Source organism: Homo sapiens, chromosome 4 (assembly GCF_000001405.40).
Source record: "Homo sapiens chromosome 4, GRCh38.p14 Primary Assembly".
Lineage (NCBI taxonomy): Eukaryota > Metazoa > Chordata > Mammalia > Primates > Hominidae > Homo > Homo sapiens.
Window position 1 is genome coordinate 162,697,097 of NC_000004.12, and position 23,133 is coordinate 162,720,229.

Below are 23,133 nucleotides of genomic sequence, written 5' to 3' on the forward strand. Positions count from 1 at the left end.
TCTGATCTTATCTTTATTATTTCTTTCCTTTTAGTAATTTTGGGTTTGAGTTTATTTTGATGTACCTTAAGGTGCATCATTAAGTTGTTTGAATTATTTCTACTTTTTTGATATATATGTTTATGGCTATGAACTTCCCTCTTAGTACTGCTATTACTATATCTCATAAGTTTTGGTATGATGTGTCTCCATTTTTATTTGTTTCAAGAAATTTTTTGTTTTTCTTAATTTCTTCATTGACCCATTGGTCTTTCAGGAGCATGTTGATTGTAAAGTTTTCCAAAGTTTCATTTGTTATTGATCTAGTTTTATTATATTGGATCTGAATATATACTTAATATAATTTCAATTTTTTAGATTTTCTTGAGGCTTTTCTGGTCTAACGTGGTTTATTCTAAAAAGTGTTCCATGTGCTGATAAGTGTGTATTCTGCATCTGTTAGATAAAATGTTCTGTAAATGTCTGTTATGTCCATTGAGTCTACAGTTCTGTTAAAATTCAAAGTTTCTTTTTTTATTTTCTGTCCTGATGATATGTAAAATACTGAGAGTGGGATGTTGATGTTCCTAAGTATCAATATATTGGGCTCTAAATATTGGGTCACAATATTTGCTTTATTATCTAGGTGCTCCAGTGTTGGGGGCATACATATTTACAATAGTTACATCTTCTTGATGAATTGATCCCCTTATCATTATGTAATGACCTTCTTTATATCTTTTTTAGGTTTTTTTATGTAAAGTTTATTTTATCTGATAGAAGTGCTGCTACTCATGCTTGTTTTGGTTTTCTATTTGTGTGAGGTATCTTTTTTCATCCTTTTACTTTCAGTCTATATGTGTCTGTACAGACAAGAAGAGTTACTTGTAGGAAGCACATCATTGGGTCTTGTTTGTTTTAATCCATTCAGCCATTTTATAACTTTTAATTAGGGAATTTAAACTGTTCACATTCAAGATTAATATTGATAGGCAATTGACTTACTCCTGTAATTTGGTTGACTCTTTTCTAGTTGTTTTGTATATTCTGTTTCTTTCTTCTTCTTTCATTGTTTATTTTTGTTGTTTGGTGGTTTTCTGCAGTTATAAGATTTGATTCCTTTCTTTTTCTCATTGTGTATTTCCTCTGCTAGTGAGTTCTATTCTTTTATGTGTTTTTAGTTTTTATTCTTTCATTTCCAGATGTAGAACTGCATTAAGCATTTATTGTAGGACTAGTGGTGATAAATTCTCTCAGTATTTGTTTGTCTGGAAAAAACTATTTCTCCTTCATTTCTGAATGATAGCTTTGGTGGTAGTATTCTTGATTGGTAGGGTTTTCTTTTTGGCACTTGGAATATATTGTCTCATTTTTTTTCTTGGCCTTTAGGGTTTCAGCTGAGAAATTTGCTGTCAGTGAGATGGGGACTCCTTTATATGTGACTTGATTTTTCTTTCTTTTTTCTTTCTTTCTTTTTTATCTTTTTTTTTTTAGATCCTCTCTTTGCTTCTGACTCTACAATGTGCTTTTGAAAAGATCTTTTGAGGTTGTATCTATTTGTGGATTATTGGGCTTCCTAAATCTGAATGTTCACATCTTTTCCAAGACTTAGAAAGTTTTCAGTTGTTATTAAACAGGTTTTCCATATTCTTTCCCATTTCTTTACTCTCTGGAATTCCCATAATGTAAACATTTCTTTATTTAGTGTTGTCCCATTAGTTTCATAGGTTTTCTGCATTTTTTTTTTGGTCTGACTGGGTTATATCAAAAACCATTTTCAAGTTCAAAAATTCTTTCTTCTTCATGAAGAATTCTTCATAAATTCTTCATTTTCTATTGCTGAAACTCTCATTGGTTTTTTAATTTTATTCATTCAATTATTTAATTCAAGATTTATGTTTGGTTATTTTTTATAATATTGATATCTGTTGAATTTCCCATTCAGCTCACAATTTTTTTTTCTGATTTCATGGAATTATCTATCTGTATTCACTTCTATTTCACTGAGTTTTGTTAAGATCATTATTTTTAATTATTTTTAAGGCATTTTATAAATTTTCTTTTTTTGAGGTCTGTTACTGGAGAATTGTTTTGTAAGTTTAGAGGTGTTGATACTGTTTGGCTGTGTCCCCACCCAAAATCTCACTTTTAATTGTAATCTACATAATTCGAATGGGTCAAGGGCAGGACCAGGTGCTGTAATTGGATCATGGGGGCAGTTTCTGCCATGCTGTTCTCATGAGAATGAGTGAGTTCTCATGAGATCTGATGGTTGTATAAGCATCTGACATTTCCCCTGCTTGTTCTTCTCCTTCCTGATGCCTTCCAAAGAAGCTGCCTTGCTTCCCCATCACCTTCTGCCATGATTATAAGTTTCCTGAGGCCTCCCCAGCCATGCTGAACTGTGAGTCATTTAACCTCTTTCCTTTATAAGTTACCCAGCCTCAGGTAGGTCTTTATAACAGCGTGAAAATGGACTAATACAGGTGCTATGTTTCTTTGCTGTTTCACGTTTGTGTCACTACACTAATATCTGAATACTCACATCTTCTAATTTTATGTAGTAGCTTTTGTAGGAAAATATGTTTTCTATGGATGTGTCCTTTAGTGTCAGTAGGGTAAGCATTTTGGCTTTGGTTCTGGGTGGGTGCAATAGTGTAGTTCACATGTGATTTATTTGGGTATTTTCAACATTAGTGGTGTCTGTGAATGCCTCATTGGGTTAGACTGCAGGTGTCTGTGCCAGTTATGTTTTGACTTTGCTAAGTGAAGGGGTCACCAGGAGGACTGCCTCTCAGGTCTCTATTGCAAGGGGTATGCTAGCACATGGCAACTCCACTGGTTAAATTGATGAGGTTGCTAATGGCAGTGGGCCTGAAATGAACTGGTCATTGGGCCCTTGGTGTTCGGTGGGGGTGTGCAGTAACTTTGCTACTGGAGTGGGCCAGGTCACTGGCAGTTGTTGACCCTGGAGAGGCCAGTCCTTAGACTTCTGGGGATGTTTGAGCACTTGGAGGCTCTGCTGCTGGAAGAATATGGACACCAGTGGCAGTGGGCACTAGTTGGGCTGCTCATGGGCCTCTGGATTGGTCATGTGGCATCCCAACCACTAGACTGAGTGGGGATAGCTGCCACAGCAAGCCCCAACCAGACTGGTCCTTGTGCCCATGTGTGGGTATGTGAGCATTTGGCTGCTTTACTACTGGAGTGGGCAGAGTTACTGACAGTGATGGGCCCTTGTACACTGGTCCTTGGGCCCCTTATGGGGGTGCACAGGTGAGCAGCAGTTCTAGTGCTGGTGCAGGAGGGGATCACTGGTGGCAGCAAGCCTGGGTGGTTTGGTCCTCAAGCTTTTAGGGGTGGGGTGAGCATAAGCTCTGCTGCTGGAGAGGCCAGAGTTGCTGGTGGAGGTTGGCCACTGGCTATTGGCTCTCAGGCTTCCTCTGTCTCGAGGATGGCCTCCCCGTTGTGCTGAGTCACCTATTCTTTGAAGTGCCAAATGTTGCATGGGCTCAGATACTGGGTTCATGGCTATACTGCTGGGTCTAGCTGGGTTCATGGCCTTCCAGGCAGATGTGGTAGGTTGACTGTGAGGCCCCAGGAATGTGGTCATGCAGGAGTTATTGGGCCCCTGGGCTAGATGCACTCTGGCAGTGGCTTCATTCTCAAAATGGCACTATGCTGCAGCAGCCTGGATTCTGGGGAGTGTGGGGGTCCCAGTGTTAGTTCCCTCTCTGGAACAATGTAGTCATGTGGGTTCCAGGCAACTTCCTATACTGGGTTTAGGGCCTGTGAGCACTGTGGGGGCTCTCCTGCCATTAAAATTGCAAGTGTCTGCAAGAAAAATGTGAACTTCTGGGGATTTCCTGCTCATCTTTTCCCCATAATGGGGAGGCCCTCTTAGCTCCAAGCTGATACTGTCTGGGGTTTTGCTGTTCTGTCTATGATGGCATCCTGAGTTCCCATGACTCAGAGGGACTTTGCACTTCCTTTATAAATTCTATTGTTCTCTCCTAAATGTTCTGTTTGACGTGTGACTATCTTCTTGTTATATTGCTCTTTCTTTGTGGAAGAAGTGAATGTTCGGCACCTCTAGTCAGCCGTCTTGCTGATGTCTTGTTTTGCATATTTAGAGCTATAAATGACTACACAGACATCTCTTTCTAAAGCTTCATTATCCCTCCAACATCATTTATATAGATATGCTTTTTTGTACTTATAGATATTTTAAATACATTTTTCATTGGAAAAGATTTTCTCCTTAAGTTTTTGCCTCTTGAGCCCCCCCTTTCCAAAGAAAGAATAATTTCTTATTTAACTCTGTGAAACACTGCTCTAAATGATTTTGAAAAATAAAATACTAAGAGATACAAAAATGAAATAAGAAAACTATTTTTGTTGAGAACATATTATTCTTCTTTCGTTTTGTTAAGTACTTTTCCCATACTAACATCTTTAACCATTATTACAACTTTGAAACTCAGATATCATGATCTCCATTTTAACTGATAATTTTCATTTTAACTGAACTGTCACAGACCCAATCATAGGCAATTTGCAAATGTTACACAGGTAGTAAGAAATAAAGCATGATTTAAACCAAATATTTTCTGTCTCCAAACCTGGGTTTTATCCCTAGAATACGATTATGCAAAACAAATGTCACAGTGCCCCAAGCTATCTGAAACTATACGTTCGTTTCTTTTTTATTGGTTACATCCATCTGTTAAAAGAAATACATAGAGAAAGAAAATAGAATATCCCCATGTAATTTTGATCTCTTGAGGGACAATGTATGCACAAATAAACCTAACTAAGGCACATCATTGTGAAATGTCACAACACTAAAAAAAGGGCTGCAATAGGATATCTCAAAGACTACCCTGAAAAAAAAAGATAAGTAAAACATTTAACATTCTTTTAAAAAAACATTGCCATTTCTTGAAAAAACAGTCTTTTCTTCCCTTTATTTCTTTCTCTATCATATGGTACATTTATTGCTTTACTTTCTCATTCTGGCCTCAAACACAAATTTACTGTGTTATTCTTATAATAATTCAATCTTACAGCTAAAAAATATCCGCTTCAAAAACTGATGTTTTTCCAACCCAGGCTTTCTGTACCACAATGACTGTCACTGTCTAGAAGATGACACTTTGATATACTAGTGTTTCAATATGATCCAACTGGGATTTATTTTAACCACCACTCTGTTCAAAACAAGATGGTTGAGAGAATAAATAAGGTAATTATACTTCTTTCAGTCTTTTACATTTTCTCAAAAACTTTCACCTTTCTTTTTGTTGAGACTTTTTTCAAGTCATTATATTCATTCTACTAATTATATGAATGTTTTTGTCATTAATTAGCTATGCTTTTTACATTTTTTAATGCTTACTAGCGCTTGATGAATGTCTAATGGATAATGAGTAATTCTCTAGAGAGCAATATATTATTTCATGTCATTGCTCAGTCTTTTGTGTCTGAGCACAAAAAGTTAAAAAAGAATTCAAAAGGAAAATAAATTTATAAGACAGAAAATTTTTACAGGGCCGACTTTGTTTGCCAAGTGACATGTCTGAGACATGTGCCTGAGAAGACAATAGCTTTAAGTCAAAAGGGCCAAAAACATGTTTTAAACTAAAATAAATAATGAAATTCAAGAAGTCTCTTTTAAGAATCATTACTGAAGTTAAATTATATAATTAGTCTTTATTTCAAAAAGTTTAATTTTTGAAAATGTTCTAGGAACTAAGAAATGCTTGACATACATTTGATTATTCAGAATAAGACCACAATCATTTGCATTAGAGAGCCTTTACTAAAGACTATGATGCTTTTCTTAATTGAAGATCCTCAGCAGTTGAATGACTTTTTCAGGTATCTCTTGGTATACTAAAGAAGAGCTTTCCCTTTTCTAATTTTCAGAATTTCTCTAAAATGAATAAAGGAAAAGAAAAGACAAAACATAAGAAAGAAAGAAAAGAAAGAGTAGATATTAGAAACTTTCAAGATAAAAGCCAATATGAAACCACAAAAGACCTTGAATAACCAAAGAAATCTTGAACAAGACCAAAGCTGCAGGCACTGCACTACCTGATTTCAAGATAAACTCCAAAGCTATAGTAGTCAAAACAATATATTACAGGCATAAAAACATACATGTAGACCAATGAAACAAAATATTAAGCTGAGAAGCAAATCCACATATTTATGTTCAGTTGGTCTCAGGCAAAGATTCCAAGAACATATAGTGGGGAAAGGACAGTCTCTTCCACAAATGTTGATGGTAAAACTGGATATCCACACACAAAAGAAAGAGACTGAACCCTTATCTCACACAACAAAAATCAACTCAAGATAGATTAAAGACTTACATGTAAGAACTGAATTTATAAAACTACTAGAAGAAAACGTGGGAGAAAAGCTCTGTGACATTGTTCTGGGCAATGATTTTTTTGAATAAGACACTCAAAACATAGAAAACAGAAGCAAAAATAGACAAATAGGCTACATCTGAATTGCAAAGGAAAAAATGAGCAGAATGAAGAGACAACTTAAGTGATGGGAAAAAATATTTGTAAACCATATATCTAATAAGGGATTGGAATTCACAACAAATAAGGAACTCAAACAACTCAATTGCAACAAAATAAATAACTTGATTCCAAAGTGGGCAAAGGATATGAGTAGACATTTTTCAGAAAGACATACAAATGGCCAATAGGTATATTTTTTAAGAATTTCAACCTCATTAATCATTAGGAAAATGCAAATCAATACCACAATATTACCTCACACCTGTTAGAGTGGCTTTTATCAAAAAGATGAAAGATAAGTGTTGGCAAGAATGCGGAGAAAAGGGAATTCCTGTCTACTGTTACTGAAAATGTCAGTTGGTACAGCCATGATGGAAAATAGTATGAGGGTTTTCTGAAAAATTAAAAATAGAAAAGTAGAGCTATCTTATAATCCAGCAATCCCATTTTTGTATATATTCAAAGGAATTAAAATCAGTGTCTTGAAGAGATATCTGCACTCCCATGTTCATTGCAGCATTAATCAAAACAGATAAGTTATGAAACCAACCTAAGTGCTCACCAACAGATGAAAGAAAGGGAATTTTGGTGTGTGTGTACACACACACACAGACACAACGGAATATTATTCCATCTTAAGAAAGATGAAAATACTGTTATTTGAGACAACATGAATGAACTTGGAGGACATTATATTAAGTGAAATAAGCCAGGTACAGAAAGACAAATATTGCATTATCTTATTTATATGTGAAATCTAAAAGGGATGAGTTCATAGAAGCAGAGTAGAATTGTGGTTTCCAAGGGTTGGAGGGTTAGGAAAGTGTGAAAATTTTTGTCAAAGGGTACAAAATTTCAATTATATAGGATGAATGAGTTCTGGAGATCTAATGTATAGCATAGTGATTATAGTTAACATTACTGTAGTGTAGACTTGAAATTTGCCAAGGCAGTAAATCTTATGTGTTCTCACCACACACACATAACTGTGAGGTCATGGATATATTAATTAGCTTGATTGTGGTGATTATTTCACAATGTACATGTATATCAAAATATCACATCATGTGCATTAAATGTATATAAGTTTTGTTTGTCAATTATACTTCAATAAAACTGGGAAAAGAAACAGTCAGTAAGCCAGTATTTCATGAAGTCCCAATGGGTAACCATTATCCAAGGAAGCCACAAAGAGTTTAATGTGATGTAAAACACTAAAAAGTAAAACAAACAAACAAGCAAATAAACAGAATGATTAAGACTAAAGTTTACTACTGGTTTAGCATTACTCAGTAACTAATTAGAAATTTATCCTTCTTTGCATGTGGCTTGTTCAATGAATCATTTGAAACATTATAGTAGAGCTTTTAAAATGTGTAAGTTCACATAGAGGGACTAGTGAATGTATTATTATTTAAGAAAAAAAGATAAGAATAAAAGAAAAAGAATAAAAATAGGATAAAAGAAAGAGGGTTAAGAAGGAAGAAAGGCTGAAAGAAAAATATAAGACTTTCTCTTTTTTGCAATGGATAATTTGGACTCATTAAATATATTTTACTAATTCTTTATTCTCTCACTTTTCCATTTCTCTTTCCCCAAAACACAATATTCTTCTGGTCATTTGACCTCCCCTGGCATCCCCTGCCTCCACTGCTTGCACTATAGCTGTAGCTGTCAGTGGATGCAGTGTCCTTTATTGTACCATGACTTGACTGCCTTGGGATTTGGTGCAGATGTTAAAAATAGAGTCACAGAATGCTATTTCAACCCTGTACAGCAATCTTTAATACACGCTAAAGTCTGGAGGACAGATACTTCCTTTTCCAGATAAACTTACAGGTATGGTTTTACATGTTGACTTAGTTTTTTACTTAGCAGACATATCCACAGGAGACTTGGGAAGGCAAAATTAAACCCCCTGAATTAGAGACTACTATTTCTGATGACAAGTATGGCAGTGGATATGTTTTCCCCCATGGCAGCTGAAGCAGGGGGCTTAGTGTCTTATTTTTAGTGTTGTTTATGTCAAGAGGTAGATATAGGCCATGAATCATGCTGGTGCAAATGGCAGCAGAAATAATTTTATTCTGGAGCCAGAAGAGTTGTGCTATGTATTTCTTTCCCAGATCGCAATAGAAGTGGATTTTAGGAACTCAGATATTGAAGGGTGAAAAACTAGTGCCCTGTTTTTCAGAGGTAAAAACTGTTAATCCTGATATCACATGCAGTACCTAGGAGGGAAGATAACATAATAACTAACGTTACTGTGATAAGGAAAGGAGATGAAAAACATAATTTAATTTTTTCTGCCTCTATTTGGCAGTTTTTGTCCTTTTTTTCTTTTTATTTCTCTTTCTCTCTCTCTTTTTAAACTTTTTTGAACATTAATTCTATGAAGGAAAATATGCAAAGACAGGTGGAGAACCAGGGTCTTTCAGTTAGCCTAAATAAGAAACACTCCTCTGAGAAGTCTGGTAATCAGTGCAATTCCTGCCAAGTGGTGTTTGATTATGGATATAATAAATCATTAGTGAATTTCCTTTTTATCCATATTTTCTGATTTTTTTTACATTGCTACACAGTAAAAAGCTACACTTGAGCTGGATAGACAGGAAAGCTTAGCACACAGTTATCTTTAGCATTCGGCTGGATAAGGTGGCTGGGTAGAATTATGAGGTTGGTTATAAAAATAGAATTAGGATGGCTCTTTTAGGGAAGAGGAAGTGGGTTGTATTTAAAAAAATAATGCAGCTGCCTTTTTTCTGCCATAATAACCATTATCATATGGTTGCCTAATAACAGGACCCTAATTTTTAACAGGATATTTGGCCCCTATGAATAAATGTTTCTCCAGCCTGCTTTGTAGCTAGATGGGGCGTGTATAAATTTTGTTTAATGATATAGAAGACAAAGTATTGTGTGTAATGTGTTGGAAATGTTCTTAGAAGAAACCATACCCTTTTTTGCCTCTTCTTCTTTCTTGGTTGCTACATTAACATGACATGGCTGGGTGACATCTGCAAAAATGATATAGTAAAGACCTCTGAATATTTGCCCATAAATAAAAGCAGTGAAAAAAACTGGCAAATATTGTCAGAACAAACTTTTTTTGAACTCTGGAAATTAACCAGAAGTTTTCAGCAACCTGGGAAGCATTTATGCGAGAAAAATGGCAGAATCTCAGTAATAACAAAAAGCAAGTTTTATGGCAGTTTTAACTTACTCTACTTTCATTTCCTGCTTCCTAGCTTAGTGGCAGTAATGAAAATAACAGTCTACATTCCTAGTACTGGAGGGAGCAGAATGGACCTAATTCACAAATAATTATGATCTTACATGTCTCTTGGTTTCTTGGTAAAGCTGTGCAAAAGGCTTGTCTTTATTAGATCTCAGAGTTTTCCCAGTCCTAAAAGCCACAAACAGGATATAAATATATTTTCAATATTTCACTTTTTCTTCTCTTATTTAAAAGAAAACTGCATAAAGCTATAATTATAAATCTATGTTGCCAGGCACAAAAGTTATACAGGCATAATTTGTGATAATAACATGAAGGAGTTAGAGAGAATGGAGCAAAGTTTTGGTATATTGTTGAAATTAAGTTGGCATTAATTTGAAAATGCCACAGCGCAGGATATGAAAGGGTAAGGTAAGGGGATGATGGAGCAATACAATAGAGCATCTTCAGCCCTTGACAATTGAGACAAATAATGTCGACCTTAGTTGTTTGCTTAGATTCCATTTTATTAGAAAAAACATTTTAGGCTGGATGCGGTGGCTCACGCCTGTAATCCCAACACTTTGGGAGGCCGAGGCGGGTGGACCACGAGGTCAGGAGATCGAGACCATCCTTGCCAACATGGTGAAACCCCGTCTCTACTAAAAATACAAAATTAGCTGGGCATGCGCCTGTTGTCCCAGCTACTTGGGAGGCTGAGGCAGGAGAATCACTTGAACCCAGGAGGCAGAGGATGCAGTGAGCCGAGATTGTGCCACTGCACTCCAGCCTGGTGACAAAGAGAGACTCCATCTCAAAAAAAAAAAAAAAAAAAAAAAAGAAAAGAAAAAACTTTAAAGCCACTGTTATTTGTTTTTTTTTTTTTTTTTTCTGTTTCTTACAGTGAACCTTAAGAGTTTCCATAGATTTTCCAATACAGAGAAAATAAAAGATATCTGGTTGGTACTCAAAGTCTTATGTTCACAAAAGATATCCCAGGCATAGCAGACCCAATGTCTATGCCAATTCACAGTGCTGCCCACAGTAAGCCCACCCCTTGTACTCTTTCTCGTATCGAGGCTAGACTTTCTATTCATTCTGTTTCCCTCAAGACTGAATCAGAAGCAGGGATTTATTTTCCCCAATTTTCTTCCACTTAGAAGCCCCACTTGTAGAAACAGTGACCAATTTATGCTTTGTCTTATTTAGGAAAACAGTGTTTAGAAAATTAGATCTAAGAATTCAAATGTGTTTGTGCTAGTTTATACTGAATGGTACAAAGTCACTACTCTCAGTTTCCATTGCAGTACTTGGAGGTTTATAAACATGAAGACTTTTTTTCTCATTTTCATGTGTCTGAAGAGTAGTCTGAGTCATACAGTTTTAAGAAATCCTTTAAAAGAATAGACATGGTTGTGCCCATAGAAATTATTACTATTCCTTCCTAATATAAGAGGAGAAAAATACAATTGTCTCTTTTCATTTGTTTCCAAGATATTTTTTGATGTCAAGATATTTAACTTCATCAGTGATATTTTCCTGGGCAAGATCTCCTTAAAGAAAGAGGCATTTAATTGGGAGTAGAGAAAGGATGTTCTGATACCTCGAAAATGCCTTTTCTTCAGAAAAAAAGAGTTCCATAGGACGCTAAGACCAGTTGGTAACATAGCCCATCAACATTTACAATCTCCTTGGACTAACTTATTTGCTAATAGATAGGATTTTACAATCCCCTAAGTTAGGATTTCTCTATGTCAAGAATCCTATAATACTGAAGAGAAATAGTGTGATATTTTAATAAACTGAAATTTTCTTTCTTCTTCAGAGATACTAACTAGATTAGCATGTGTTAATTATTCTTTTAGGATCTTACAAATTTGTGATTCTTGGGTATACATTTCTTCACAGGCTTAATTTCAGGAGCAATTAAGGACACATTGACCAATTTGAAGCAAATGATATTTATATTATAAAATAGCACATAATTAATAAGGTAGAGATAAATCAAACTTTCCAAAAATCATGTACAAGCTTGAAATTGCAGATAGTTATAATAAGCCCACACAGCAATCTCTGAAAACTCCTACATTTAGTGAACTTTGCAAATTTTACTTAGAAGAAAAAAGATTAAGACAACTTGCTTCTTAGAGAAACTATGGTGAAAAAGAAACCTACCATTTCCATCTGCAAAATATTTAATAATTTATATATAGCAATGGAAAGACATACTTGAAATTTCTCACTTCTCTTCTTCTCCATTGTATTGATTGCCATGACAAAGGATTTATAAAAAACAATCAATTCTGACAACTGTTATGCTTTCTCAATTCACTTATTTTCAAATGGTAATTGTCAGGCCTCTGAGCCCAAGCTAAGCCATCATATCCCCTGTGACCTGCACGTACACATCCAGATGGACGGTTCCTGCCTTAACTGATGACATTACACCACAAAAGAAGTGAAAATGGCCTGTTTCTGCCTTAACTGATGACATTGTCTTGTGAAATTCCTTCTCCTGGCTCATCCTGGCTCAAAAGCTCCCCAACTGAGTAACTTGTGATCCCCACTCCTGCCTGCCAGAGAACAACCCCCCTTTTTCCTTTACCTACCCAAATCCTATAAAACGGCCCCACCCTTATCTTCCTTTGCTGACTCTCTTTTTGGACTTGGCCCGCCTGCACCCAGGTGAAATAAACAGCCATGTTGCTCACACAAAGCCTGTTTGGTGGTCTCTTCACATGGACGCACATGAAATTTGGTGCCGTGACTTGGATCGGGGGACCTCCCTTGGGAGATCAATCCCCTGTCCTCCTGCTCTTTGCTCCATGAGAAAGATCCGCCTACAACCTCAGGTCCTCAGACCCACCAGCCCAAGAAACATCTCACCAATTTCAAATCCAGTAAGCGGCCTCTTTTTACTCTCTTCTGCAACCTCCCTCACTATCCCTCAACCTCTTTCTCCTTTCAATCTTGGTGTCACACTTCAATCTCTCCCTTCTCTTAATTTCAATTCCTTTCATTTTCTGGTAGAGACAAAGGAGACACGTTTTATCCGTGGACCCAAAACTCCGGCACCAGTCACAGACTAGGGAAGGCAGCCTTCCCTTGGTGTTTAATCATTGCAGGGACGCCTCTCTGATTATTCACCCAGGTTTCAGAGGTGTCAGACCATGCAGGGACGCCTGCCTTGGTCCTTCACCCTTAGCGGCAAGTCCCACTTTCCTGGGGAAGGGGCAAGTACCCCAACCCCTTCTCTCTATGTCTCTACCCCTTCTCCACCTTTCTGGGGGGGAAGAAACCCCCAACCCCTTCTCCTTAACCCTGAGCGGCAAGTCCCGTTTTGTGGGGGAGGGGCAACTACCTCAACCTTGTATCTCTGCGCCCCAATCCCTTATTTCTGTGCCCCGACCTCGTATCTCTGTGCCCTGACCCCTTTCCCGCTTTTCTGGAGGGTAAGAACCCCCGAACCCCTTCCCTCCGTGTCTCTACTCTCACTTTTCTCTGGGCTTGCTTCCTTCACTATGGGCAACCTTCCACCCTCCATTCCTCCTTCTTCTCCCTTAGCCTGTGTTCTTAAGAACTTAAAACCTCTTCAACTCTCACCTGACCTAAAATCTAAGCATCTTATTTTCTTCTGCAATGCTGCTTGACCCCAATACAAACTCGACAGTAGTTCCAAATAGCCGGAAAATGGCACTTTCAATTTTTCCATCCTACAAGATCTAAATAATTCTTGTTGTAAAATAGGCAAATGGTCTGAGGTGCCTGACGTCCAGGCATTCTTTTACACATCAGTCCCTTCCTAGTCTCTGTGCCCAGTGCAACTCATCCCAAATCTTCCTTCTTTCCCTCCCACCTCTCCCCTCAGTCCCAACCCCAAGCGTCGCTGAGTCTTTCTAATCTTCCTTTTCTACAGACCCATCTGATCTCTCCCCTCCCCCCCAGGCTGCTCCTCGCCAGGCCGAGCTAGGTCCCAATTCTTCCTCAGCCTCCGCTCCTCCACCCTATAATCCTTTTATCACCTCCCCTCCTCACACCTGATCCGGCTTGCAGTTTCCTTCTGTGACTAGCCCTCCCCCACCTGCCCAGCAATTTACTCTTAAAAAGGTGGCTGGAGCCAAAGGCATAGTCAAGGTTAATGCTCCTTTTTCTTTATCCCAAATCAGATAGCGTTTAGGCTCTTTTTCATCAAATATAAAAATTCAGCCCAGTTCATGGCTCGTTTGGCAGCAACCCTGAGACACTTGACAGCCCTAGACCCTAAAAGGTCAAAAGGCCATCTTATTCTCAAAATACATTTTATTACCCAATCTGCTCCCAACATTAAATAAAACTCCAAAAATTAAATTCCAGCCCTCAAACCCCATGACAGGATTTAATTAACCTCACCTTCAAGGTGTACAATAATAGAAAAAAGTTGCAATTCCTTGCCTCCACTGTGAGACAAACCCCAGCCACATCTCCAGCATGCAAGAACTCCTAAATGCCTGAACCGCAGCAGCCAGGCGTTCCTCCAGAACCTCCTCCCCAGGAGCTTGCCACAAGTGCCAGAAATCTGGCCACCAGGCCAAGGAATGCCTGCAGCCCAGGATTCCTCCTAAGCCATGTCCCATCTGTGTGGGACCCCACTGGAAATTGGACTGTCCAACTCACCTGGCAGCCACTCCCAGAGCCCCTGGAACTCTGGCCCAAGGCTCTCTGACTCCTTCCCAGATCTTCTTGGCTTAGCGGCTGAAGACTGATGCTGCCCGATTGCCTCGGAAGTCCCCTAGACCATCACGGACGCCGAGCTTTGGGTAACTCTCACAGTGGAGGGTAAGTCCGTCCCCTTCTTAATCAATACGGAGGCTACCCACTCCATATTACCTTCTTTTCAAGGGCCTGTTTCCCTTGCCTCCATAACTGTTGTGGGTATTGACCGCCAGGCTTATAAACCTCTTAAAACTCTGCAACTCTGGTGCCAGTTTAGACAATACTCTTTTATGCACTCTTTTTTAGTTATCCCCACCTGCCCAGTTGCCTTATTAGGCCGAGATATTTTAACCAAATTATCTGCTTCCCTGACTATTCCTGGACTACAGCCGCATCTCATTGCTGCCCTTCTCCCCAACCCAAAGCCTCCTTCGCATCTTCTTCTCGTATCCCCCCACCTTAACCCTCAAGTATAGGACATCTCTACTCCTTCCCTGGCAACCGATCACATGCCCATTACCATCCCATTAAAACCTAATCACCCTTACCCTGCTCAACGCCAATATCCCATCCCACAGCACGCTTTAAAAGGATTAAAGCCTGTTATCACTCACCTGCTACAGCATGGGCTTCTAAAACCTGTAAACTCTCCTTACAATTCCCCCATTTTACCTGTCCAAAAACCGGATAAGTCTTACAGATTAGTTCAGGATCTGCGCCTTATCTACCAAATTGTTTTGCCTATCCACCCTGTGGTGCCCAACCCGTACACTCTTTCATCCTCAATACCTTCCTCCACAACTCACTATTCCATTCTTGATCTTAAAGATGCTTTTTTCACTATTCCCCTGCACCCCTCGTCCCAGCCTCTCTTTGCTTTCACTTAGACTGACCCCAACACCCATTAGGCTCAGCAAATTACCTGGGCTGTACTGTTGCAAGGCTTCACAGACAGCCCCCATTACTTCAGTCAAGCCCAAATTTCATCCTCATCTGTTACCTGTCTCGGCATAATTCTCATAAACACACACGTGCTTTCCCTGATGATCGTGTCCGGTTAATCTCCCAAGCCTCAATCCCTTACAAAACAATAACTCCTTTCCTTCCTAGGCATGGTTAGTGCGATCAGAATTCTTACACAAGAGCCAGGACCGCACCCTGTAGCCTTTCTGTGCAAACAACTTGACCTTACTGTTTTAGCCTAGCCCTCATGTCTGCGTGCAGTGGCTGCTGCTGCTTTAATACTTTTAGAGGCCCTAAAAATCACAAACTATGCTCAACTCACTCCCTACATTTCTCATAACTTCCAAAATCTATTTTCTTCCTCATACCTGACGCATATACTTTCTGCTCCCCAGCTCCTTCAGCTGTACTCACTCTTTCTTAAGTCCCACAATTACCATTGTTCCTGGCCCAGACTTCAATCCAGCCTCCCACATTATTCCTGATACCACACCTGACCCCCATGACTGTATCTCTCTGATCCACCTGACATTCACCCCATTTCCCCATATTTCCTTCTTTCTTGTTCCTCACTCTGATCACGCTTGATTTATTGATGGCGGTTCCACCAGGCCTAATCGCCACACACCAGCAAAGGCAGGCTATGCTATAGTACAAGCCAGTAGCCCGCCTCTTAGAACCTCTTATTTCCTTTCCATCGCGGAAATCTATCCTCAAGGAAATAACTTCTCAGTGTTCCATCTGCTATTCTACTACTCCTCAGGGATTATTCAGGCCCCCTCCCTTCCCTACACATCAAGCTCAAGGATTTGCCCCCACCCAGGACTGGCAAATTAGCTTTACTCAACATGCCCCGAGTCAGATAACTAAAATACCTCTTAGTCTACGTAGACACTTTCACTGGATAGGTACAGGCCTTTCCTACGGGGTCTGAGAAGGCCACCGCAGTCATTTCTTCCCTTCTGTCAGACATAATTCCTCAGTTTAGCCTACCCACCTCTACACAGTCTGATAACAGACCAGCCTTTATTAGTCAAATCAGCCAAGCAGTTTTTCAGGCTCTTAGTATTCAGTGAAACCTTTATATCCCTTATGGTCTTCCATCTTCAGGAAAAGTAGAACGGACTAAAGGTCTTTTAAAAACACACCTCACCAAGCTCAGCCACCAACTTAAAAAGGACTGGACAATACTCTTACCACTTTCCCTTCTCAGAAGTCAGAGTTGTCCTCAGAATGCTACAGGGTACAGCCCATTTGAGCTCCTGTATAGATGCTCCTTTTTATTAGGCCCCAGTCTCATTCCAGACGCCAGACCAACTTAAACTGTGCCCCAAAAAAACCTATCATCCCTACTATATTCTGTCTAGTCATACTCCTATTCACCGTTCTCAACTACTCACACATGCCCTGCTCTTGTTTACACTGCCGGTTTACACTGTTTCTCCAAGCCATCACAGCTGATATCTCCTGGTGCTATCCCCAAACTGCCACTCTTAACTCTTGAAGTAAATAAATAATCTTTGCTGGCAGGACTATGCTGAATTTCCTTAAGCACTCTAATTAGATGTCCTAGGTCCTCCCAATTCTTAGACCTTTAATACCTGTTTTTCTCCTTCTCTTATTCCTTTTAGTTTTTCAATTCATACAAAACCGTATCCAGGCTATCACCAATAATTCTAAATGACAAATGTTTCTTCTAACAGTCCCACAATATCACCCCTTACCATAAAATCTTCCTTCAGCTTAATGTCTCCCACTCTAGGTTCCCACACCGCCCCTAATCCCGCTCGAAGCAGCCCTGAGAAACATCGCCCATTATCTCTCCATACCATCCCCCCAAAAATTTTCACCGTCCCAGCACTTTACCACTACTTCGTTTTATTTTTCTTATTAATATAAGAAGACAAGAATGTCAGGCCTCTGAGCCCAAGCTAAGCTATCATATCCCCTGTGATCTGCACGTACACATCCAGATGGCCGGTTCCTGCCTTAACTGATGACATTGTCTTGTGAAATTCCTTCTCCTGGCTCATCCTGGCTCAAAAGCTCCCCCACTGAGTAACTTGTGATCCCCACTCCTGCCTGCCAGAGAACAACCCCCCTTTTTCCTTTACCTACCCAAATCCTATAAAACGGCCCCACCCTTATCTCCCTTTGCTGACTCTCTTTTTGGACTCAACCCGCCTGCACCCAGGTGAAATAAACAGCCATGTTGCTCACACAAAGCCTGTTTGGTGGTCTCTTCACACGGAAGTGCATAAAAGTAATCAATTATCCATTAATCCTTTATGCCATTGACAGTACATTTCAAGAGTTAAAAAGAAATTTAAGTCTATATATATGATATAACTCTTGTGAAAAGATGGTTACCCTTTCATTAAAATCAGAAAATACGCAGTTTATAAAATTTTATATATTTTAAAAATAAAGGGTAAAAGTCCCTTGCTAAATTTGACATGGCAACCTACACATCAGATAAAGGACTAATATCTTGAATCTATAAAAAACAAATCAACAAGAAAATAACAAATAACCTCATTAAAAAGTGAGCACAGGTCATGAACAGACACTTCTCAAAAGAAGACATACAAGGAGCCAACAATTGTGAAAAAATGTTTAACATCACTAATCACCAGAGAAATGCAAATCAAAACCACAGTGAGACACCATCTCACACCAGTCAGAGCATCTATTATTAAAAAATCAACAAATAACAGATGCAGGCAAGATTGTAGAGAGAAGGGAACACTTATATATTGTTGGTGGAAATACAAATTAATTCAGCCCCTGTGGAAAGAAATTTGGAGATTTCTCAAAGAACTAAAAGTAGAATTACTCTTTGACCCAGCAATCCTATTACTGCGTATATGCCGTGTAAACCAAAAATAAAATTCTAAGGCCCCCCAACCATCTGAATAGACCCATCCGCCTGGCCAAGGGCATTCAAAGTTAACTGAAAAACTAGTTCAAGCCATGATGGGAAGGAGGAGCCAGACATGCGTCATTATATCCACCTCCCTTTTGGAATTATTGATAGAACAGGTCTTTAAGTCTGATAAGAAACATTTACAATCTATTCTCTCGGAAGCCTGCTTCCTGGAGACTTCATCTACATGATAAAACCTTGGTCTCCACAACCCCTTGTTGCAACCCAGGTATTCCTTTCTGTTGATAATAAGTCTTTGAACCAATTGACAACCAGAAAATTTTTAAACCTACCTATGACCTGGAGGTCCCCACTGCAAGTTGTCCTGCCTTTCTGGACCAAACCAATGTACATCTTACATGTACTGATTGATGTCTCACATCTCCCTAAAATGTATAAAACCAAGCTGTACTCTAATCACCTTGGGCACATGTCATCAGGACATTCTGAGGCTGTGTCATGGGCACGTCCCTAACCTTGGCAAATGTAAACTTTCTAAATTGACTGATAGATAAAAGTATCTGTTTCAGATACTTTTGGTTTACAACCCAAAAGAAAATGAATTATTCTACCAAAAAGTCACCAGCAGTCATATATTTTTATTGTAGCACTATTCACAATAGCAAAGATGTGACATTAACTCAGGTGATCATCAATGGTGGATTGGATAAAGAAAATGTGGTACATAAACATGATGGAATACCACACAGCCACAGAGCCACACACCATGGAATACTACACAGCCACACAAAAGAGTGAAATCATGTCCTTTGCAGGAATATGGATGCAGCTGGAGGTCATTATCCTAAGTGAATAAGCACAGAAACAGAAAACCAAATACCCTATGTTCTCACTTACAAGTAGGAGCTGTACATTGGGTACACATGGACCCAAACATAGGACCAATAGACATTGGGGGTTTCAAATGGTGGGGGTAAGGAGACAGGGGAGCAAGGTCTGAAAACTGACTTATTGAAAACTATGTTCGCTATTTGACAACAGGATGATTAAAAGACAGTGTACATACATTCAGCATTACTCAATATACCCAGGTAACAAACCTGCACATATGCCCCATCAATGTCGAATTTAAAAATAAATTTCCAAAAGTAAATAAATTTTGGCATGTCCTCTAAAATGTACTCTCAAGATAAAAAGATTTTTAAAAACTACAGTTATTTAAAGAGTAGCTTAAAAAACAACTTTACCTCTTTCAAGAGGCAAAATTTTCATGAACTGTGTTCTTTTGCCTCCTAATATAAAAGTTATCGGGTACTTTCCCTGCAGTGCATTTAAAACCATTCATAGTAAATGAATCATTTAGAAGAGCAAAAGAGGTTGCTTATTTATTCTGTTTTCAAAATTTTCAGTCCACAGCACATATTTATAGATCACTTCACTGATGAAAAACTTTTATACTAATGAGAGTTATCAAGCGTAAGTTTAAAACACCAGCAGTGACCATTTTCAAACAAAAGTAGTTTCAAAACACACAATATGCTAGTTCCAGCATTCAGATTTTAATTGATAGATCCAGGCTTCAGACTTAGCTTTATCTGATTTCAAAGTTTTTATCATAGACATATCATAATGCAGCCACCCAAAGTAAATAATACCATTTATTAGGTACTGACCTAATATATACTTCACTGTGACAAATATTACTGCAAAATGTCTAATGTAATTTACTATGTACCTGAGATGGATAGGTAGATAAACAGAATATAAGATATATATATATATATATATATTTATACATATAAAATTTTATGTACGATTTATATGACACATACAAATATATTTAAATCTTTATGGATAATCACTTCTCCACACAAGATGTGCACAAATATTTCCACATGACCACAGTACTGTTCTCTGGAAAGCCTTGAATCAGCTTCAACATTCTTAACACAGTACTTTGACAACAGCTGTTATCAATTATGAAAGCACATTTCTTAGAGTAATTATTGTTATTCATAATTTATTTGTATAATTTGTACACATCTTTTTGTTTTGTATTCACCTTCATCTTTATCTCTTTTTTCCAACACTATACTCCAGCTAGAATGGCCTTATTTCTCACCTTTAGGCCAGAAACCTATTCTCCTGGCACAACGTCTGAGCTTTAACATTTCATTTAATTGGATGTTCTTTCCCCAGATTGTCACCTAGCTACTTTCTTCAGCCTCAGTTCAAGTATCAACTTCTCAGAAAAGTCTTCTCTGACAAACTTGGCTAAAGTAGCTATTCCCTAAATTCTAGAAGCGTTCTAGCACATCACTCTGTTAATTATCTTTATAAGACTTTAAGATTTGAACTATTTTATTAATTTATAACTTTTTATTATGTCCACTACTAGAGTATAAACTTTCTGAGGGTAGGGTAAGTCCCTGACCTCTCTTATTTATTTTTATATTCCTGATGTCTAAAGCAGAACTGAGAAGACTTTGAACAAATAAATATAAATCAACAAATTAATAGAAAAGATATATTTATTATATAGATTGAAATATATAATTGTGTATATATTTGCGGAATTTTAGGTAGTATATATATTAGTTGTTTAGTTCACCTATTATTTAATAAAATGAGCTTGTGACTAGATGACAATAACCATAATTCTTTGAGTTGTTTTCACACACAAAGTAAACTCTCTAATTGAAAAACAGAGATTGGCAGAATGGATTTTTTAAAAACCATAATTTAATCATATGCTAGTCCTCTGAAAAGGTGAAAACAATATTTTTGTTATACAAAAGAATTATTTTTGCAAAAATAACAAAAAGACAACCAGAGTAGTTATATCAATGTCAGACAAAATAAACTTTAAGACAAAGAAGGATATTTTGTAATTTTAAAAGACTAATCTGCTAACAAGATATAACAATTATAACCATACATGCACTTAACAACAGAGCCTAAAATATAAAGAGCAAAAATTGACATAAGGTAGAAAAAGACAATTAAACAGTAATATTTGGAGACTTCAATACCTGCTTTCAATAATAGATAGGAAAACCAGATAGATTAACAATGGAGTATAAGAATTGAGCTACACTATAAACCAGCTAGACATATTTATAGAACACTCCACCAATGAACAGCAGAATATACATTCTTCTCAAACACACATGGAACATTCTTCAGGACAGACATATGTTAAGCCATAAAATGTGTCTCAGAGAATTTATAAGAACTAAAATTATACAGGATATGTTCTCTAATCACAAAAATGGTATTAAAAATCAATGAAAGAAGGAAGTCTGAAAAATTCACACACATGTAAAAATTAAGCAAACACACCCCTAAATAACCAGTTGGCCAGAGAATTAATCAAAAGGAAAGTTATAAAAAACTTTGAGAAGACTAAAATGAAAACACAACATACCAAAACATGAAATGCAGCAAAAGCAGTGCTTAGAGGTATTTACACCTATAAATGCATACATTAAAAAGAATAAGTGCCTCTAATTATTATACTAAGCTTCCATCTTAAGAAACTAGAAAGAGAAGAGCAAACAAAATTCAAAATAAAGAAGGAATTAATAAAAATTAGGATGGAAATAAATGAAATAGAGGATAGAAAATCAATAGAGGAAAAAAATCATAAAACCAAAGGTTTGTTCTCTGAAATGATTGATAAAATTTTCAAACATTTAGATAGACTGAGCAAGAAAAAAAAGATGCAAATGACTGAAATCAGTATTGAAACATGGGATGTCATTATTAATTTTACAGAAATAAAGTACTTTTAGAAAATACTATGAATAAATGCATGCTAGTAAACAGGATAACCCAAATGAAATAGAAAATATTATTTCTAGAAACTTACATACTGACAAGAGAAGAAAAAATAGAAATCTTAACAGACCTAATAAGAGTACAGATTGAGTTAATAAAAAAATTTCTAATAAAGAAAATTCCAGAACCAGATGGCTTCATTGGTGAATTCTACCCACATTTTAAAGAATTACCACCAATTTGTTTCAATCACTCCACATCAATGGAAGAGAGGAAAGCACTTCCTACCTTATTCTGTAAGATCAGTATTACTCTGACATCAAAGCCAAAACAAGACATCACAAGAAAACTACAGACCAATATCCTTTATGAATATAGGTGAAAAAATCTTCAAAATGTAACAGCCAGTTCAGCCCAGCAATACATCATCATGACCAAGTAGGATTTATCTCAAGGACGCAATGCTAGTTCAAAGTGAGAAAAGTCGATCCATACAGTATACCATATTGATAGAATAAAGAAAATAATATACATGATCATTGCTTTAGATGCAGTAACAGCATTTGACAAAATCCCATACCATTTTATGATAAAATCACTTTAAATGCAAATAGAAGAAAACTTCTTCAACCTGATAAAGGGCATTTATAGAAAACCCATAGCTAACATCAGACTAAATGGGAAAAGAACAAAAACTGTTCCACTTAGATAATGAACAAAATAAGACTCTTCTAGCCAACATTGTATGGATGTTCTACTCAGGGAAATTTGGCAAAAATAAATAAAAAATATTAATTCATAAATAAATTTATATCTCTTAGCATAAGACATAATATCACATATAAAAAGCCATAAAGACCAAATCTATTTGAGCTAATAAATGAATACAGCAAAGTTGCAGGATACAATATTAATATACATATATCAGTTGTATTTCTGTGTACTAGCAATGAACAATATGAAAATGGAACTAATAAAATTCCACTTACAATCATATCAAAAATAAAGAAATTAAGAATATATTTAAGCAAAAAAATACAAGTACAAATGGAATATTATTCAGTATAGACCAAATG

General features: G+C 37.3%; 1 long non-coding RNA gene across 1 annotated transcript in view, besides 1 other annotated feature; it reads right to left on the reverse strand.

Moving 5' to 3' along the window:
• Positions 1 to 8,670: 8,670 nt before the first annotated feature.
• The window catches only part of LOC105377516 (uncharacterized), a 30,448-nt gene continuing 15,985 nt past the window's right edge, over positions 8,671 to 23,133 (reverse strand). The window contains exons 3-5 of the long non-coding RNA XR_939412.3: positions 9,855 to 9,924; positions 9,476 to 9,535; positions 8,671 to 8,749 (exon numbers count right to left, since the gene is read on the reverse strand). This is a non-coding gene — a long non-coding RNA (uncharacterized LOC105377516). The remainder of the gene's footprint in view (positions 8,750 to 9,475; positions 9,536 to 9,854; positions 9,925 to 23,133) is intronic.
• Positions 18,208 to 18,827: an enhancer, noted in NCBI's record as "NANOG hESC enhancer chr4:163636456-163637075 (GRCh37/hg19 assembly coordinates)". NCBI's record gives its function as "activates a minimal SCP1, AML or CMV promoter by ChIP-STARR-seq in naive H9 embryonic stem cells {active_cell/tissue: H9 hESC(naive)}" and the evidence as "EXISTENCE:reporter gene assay evidence [ECO:0000049][PMID:30033119]".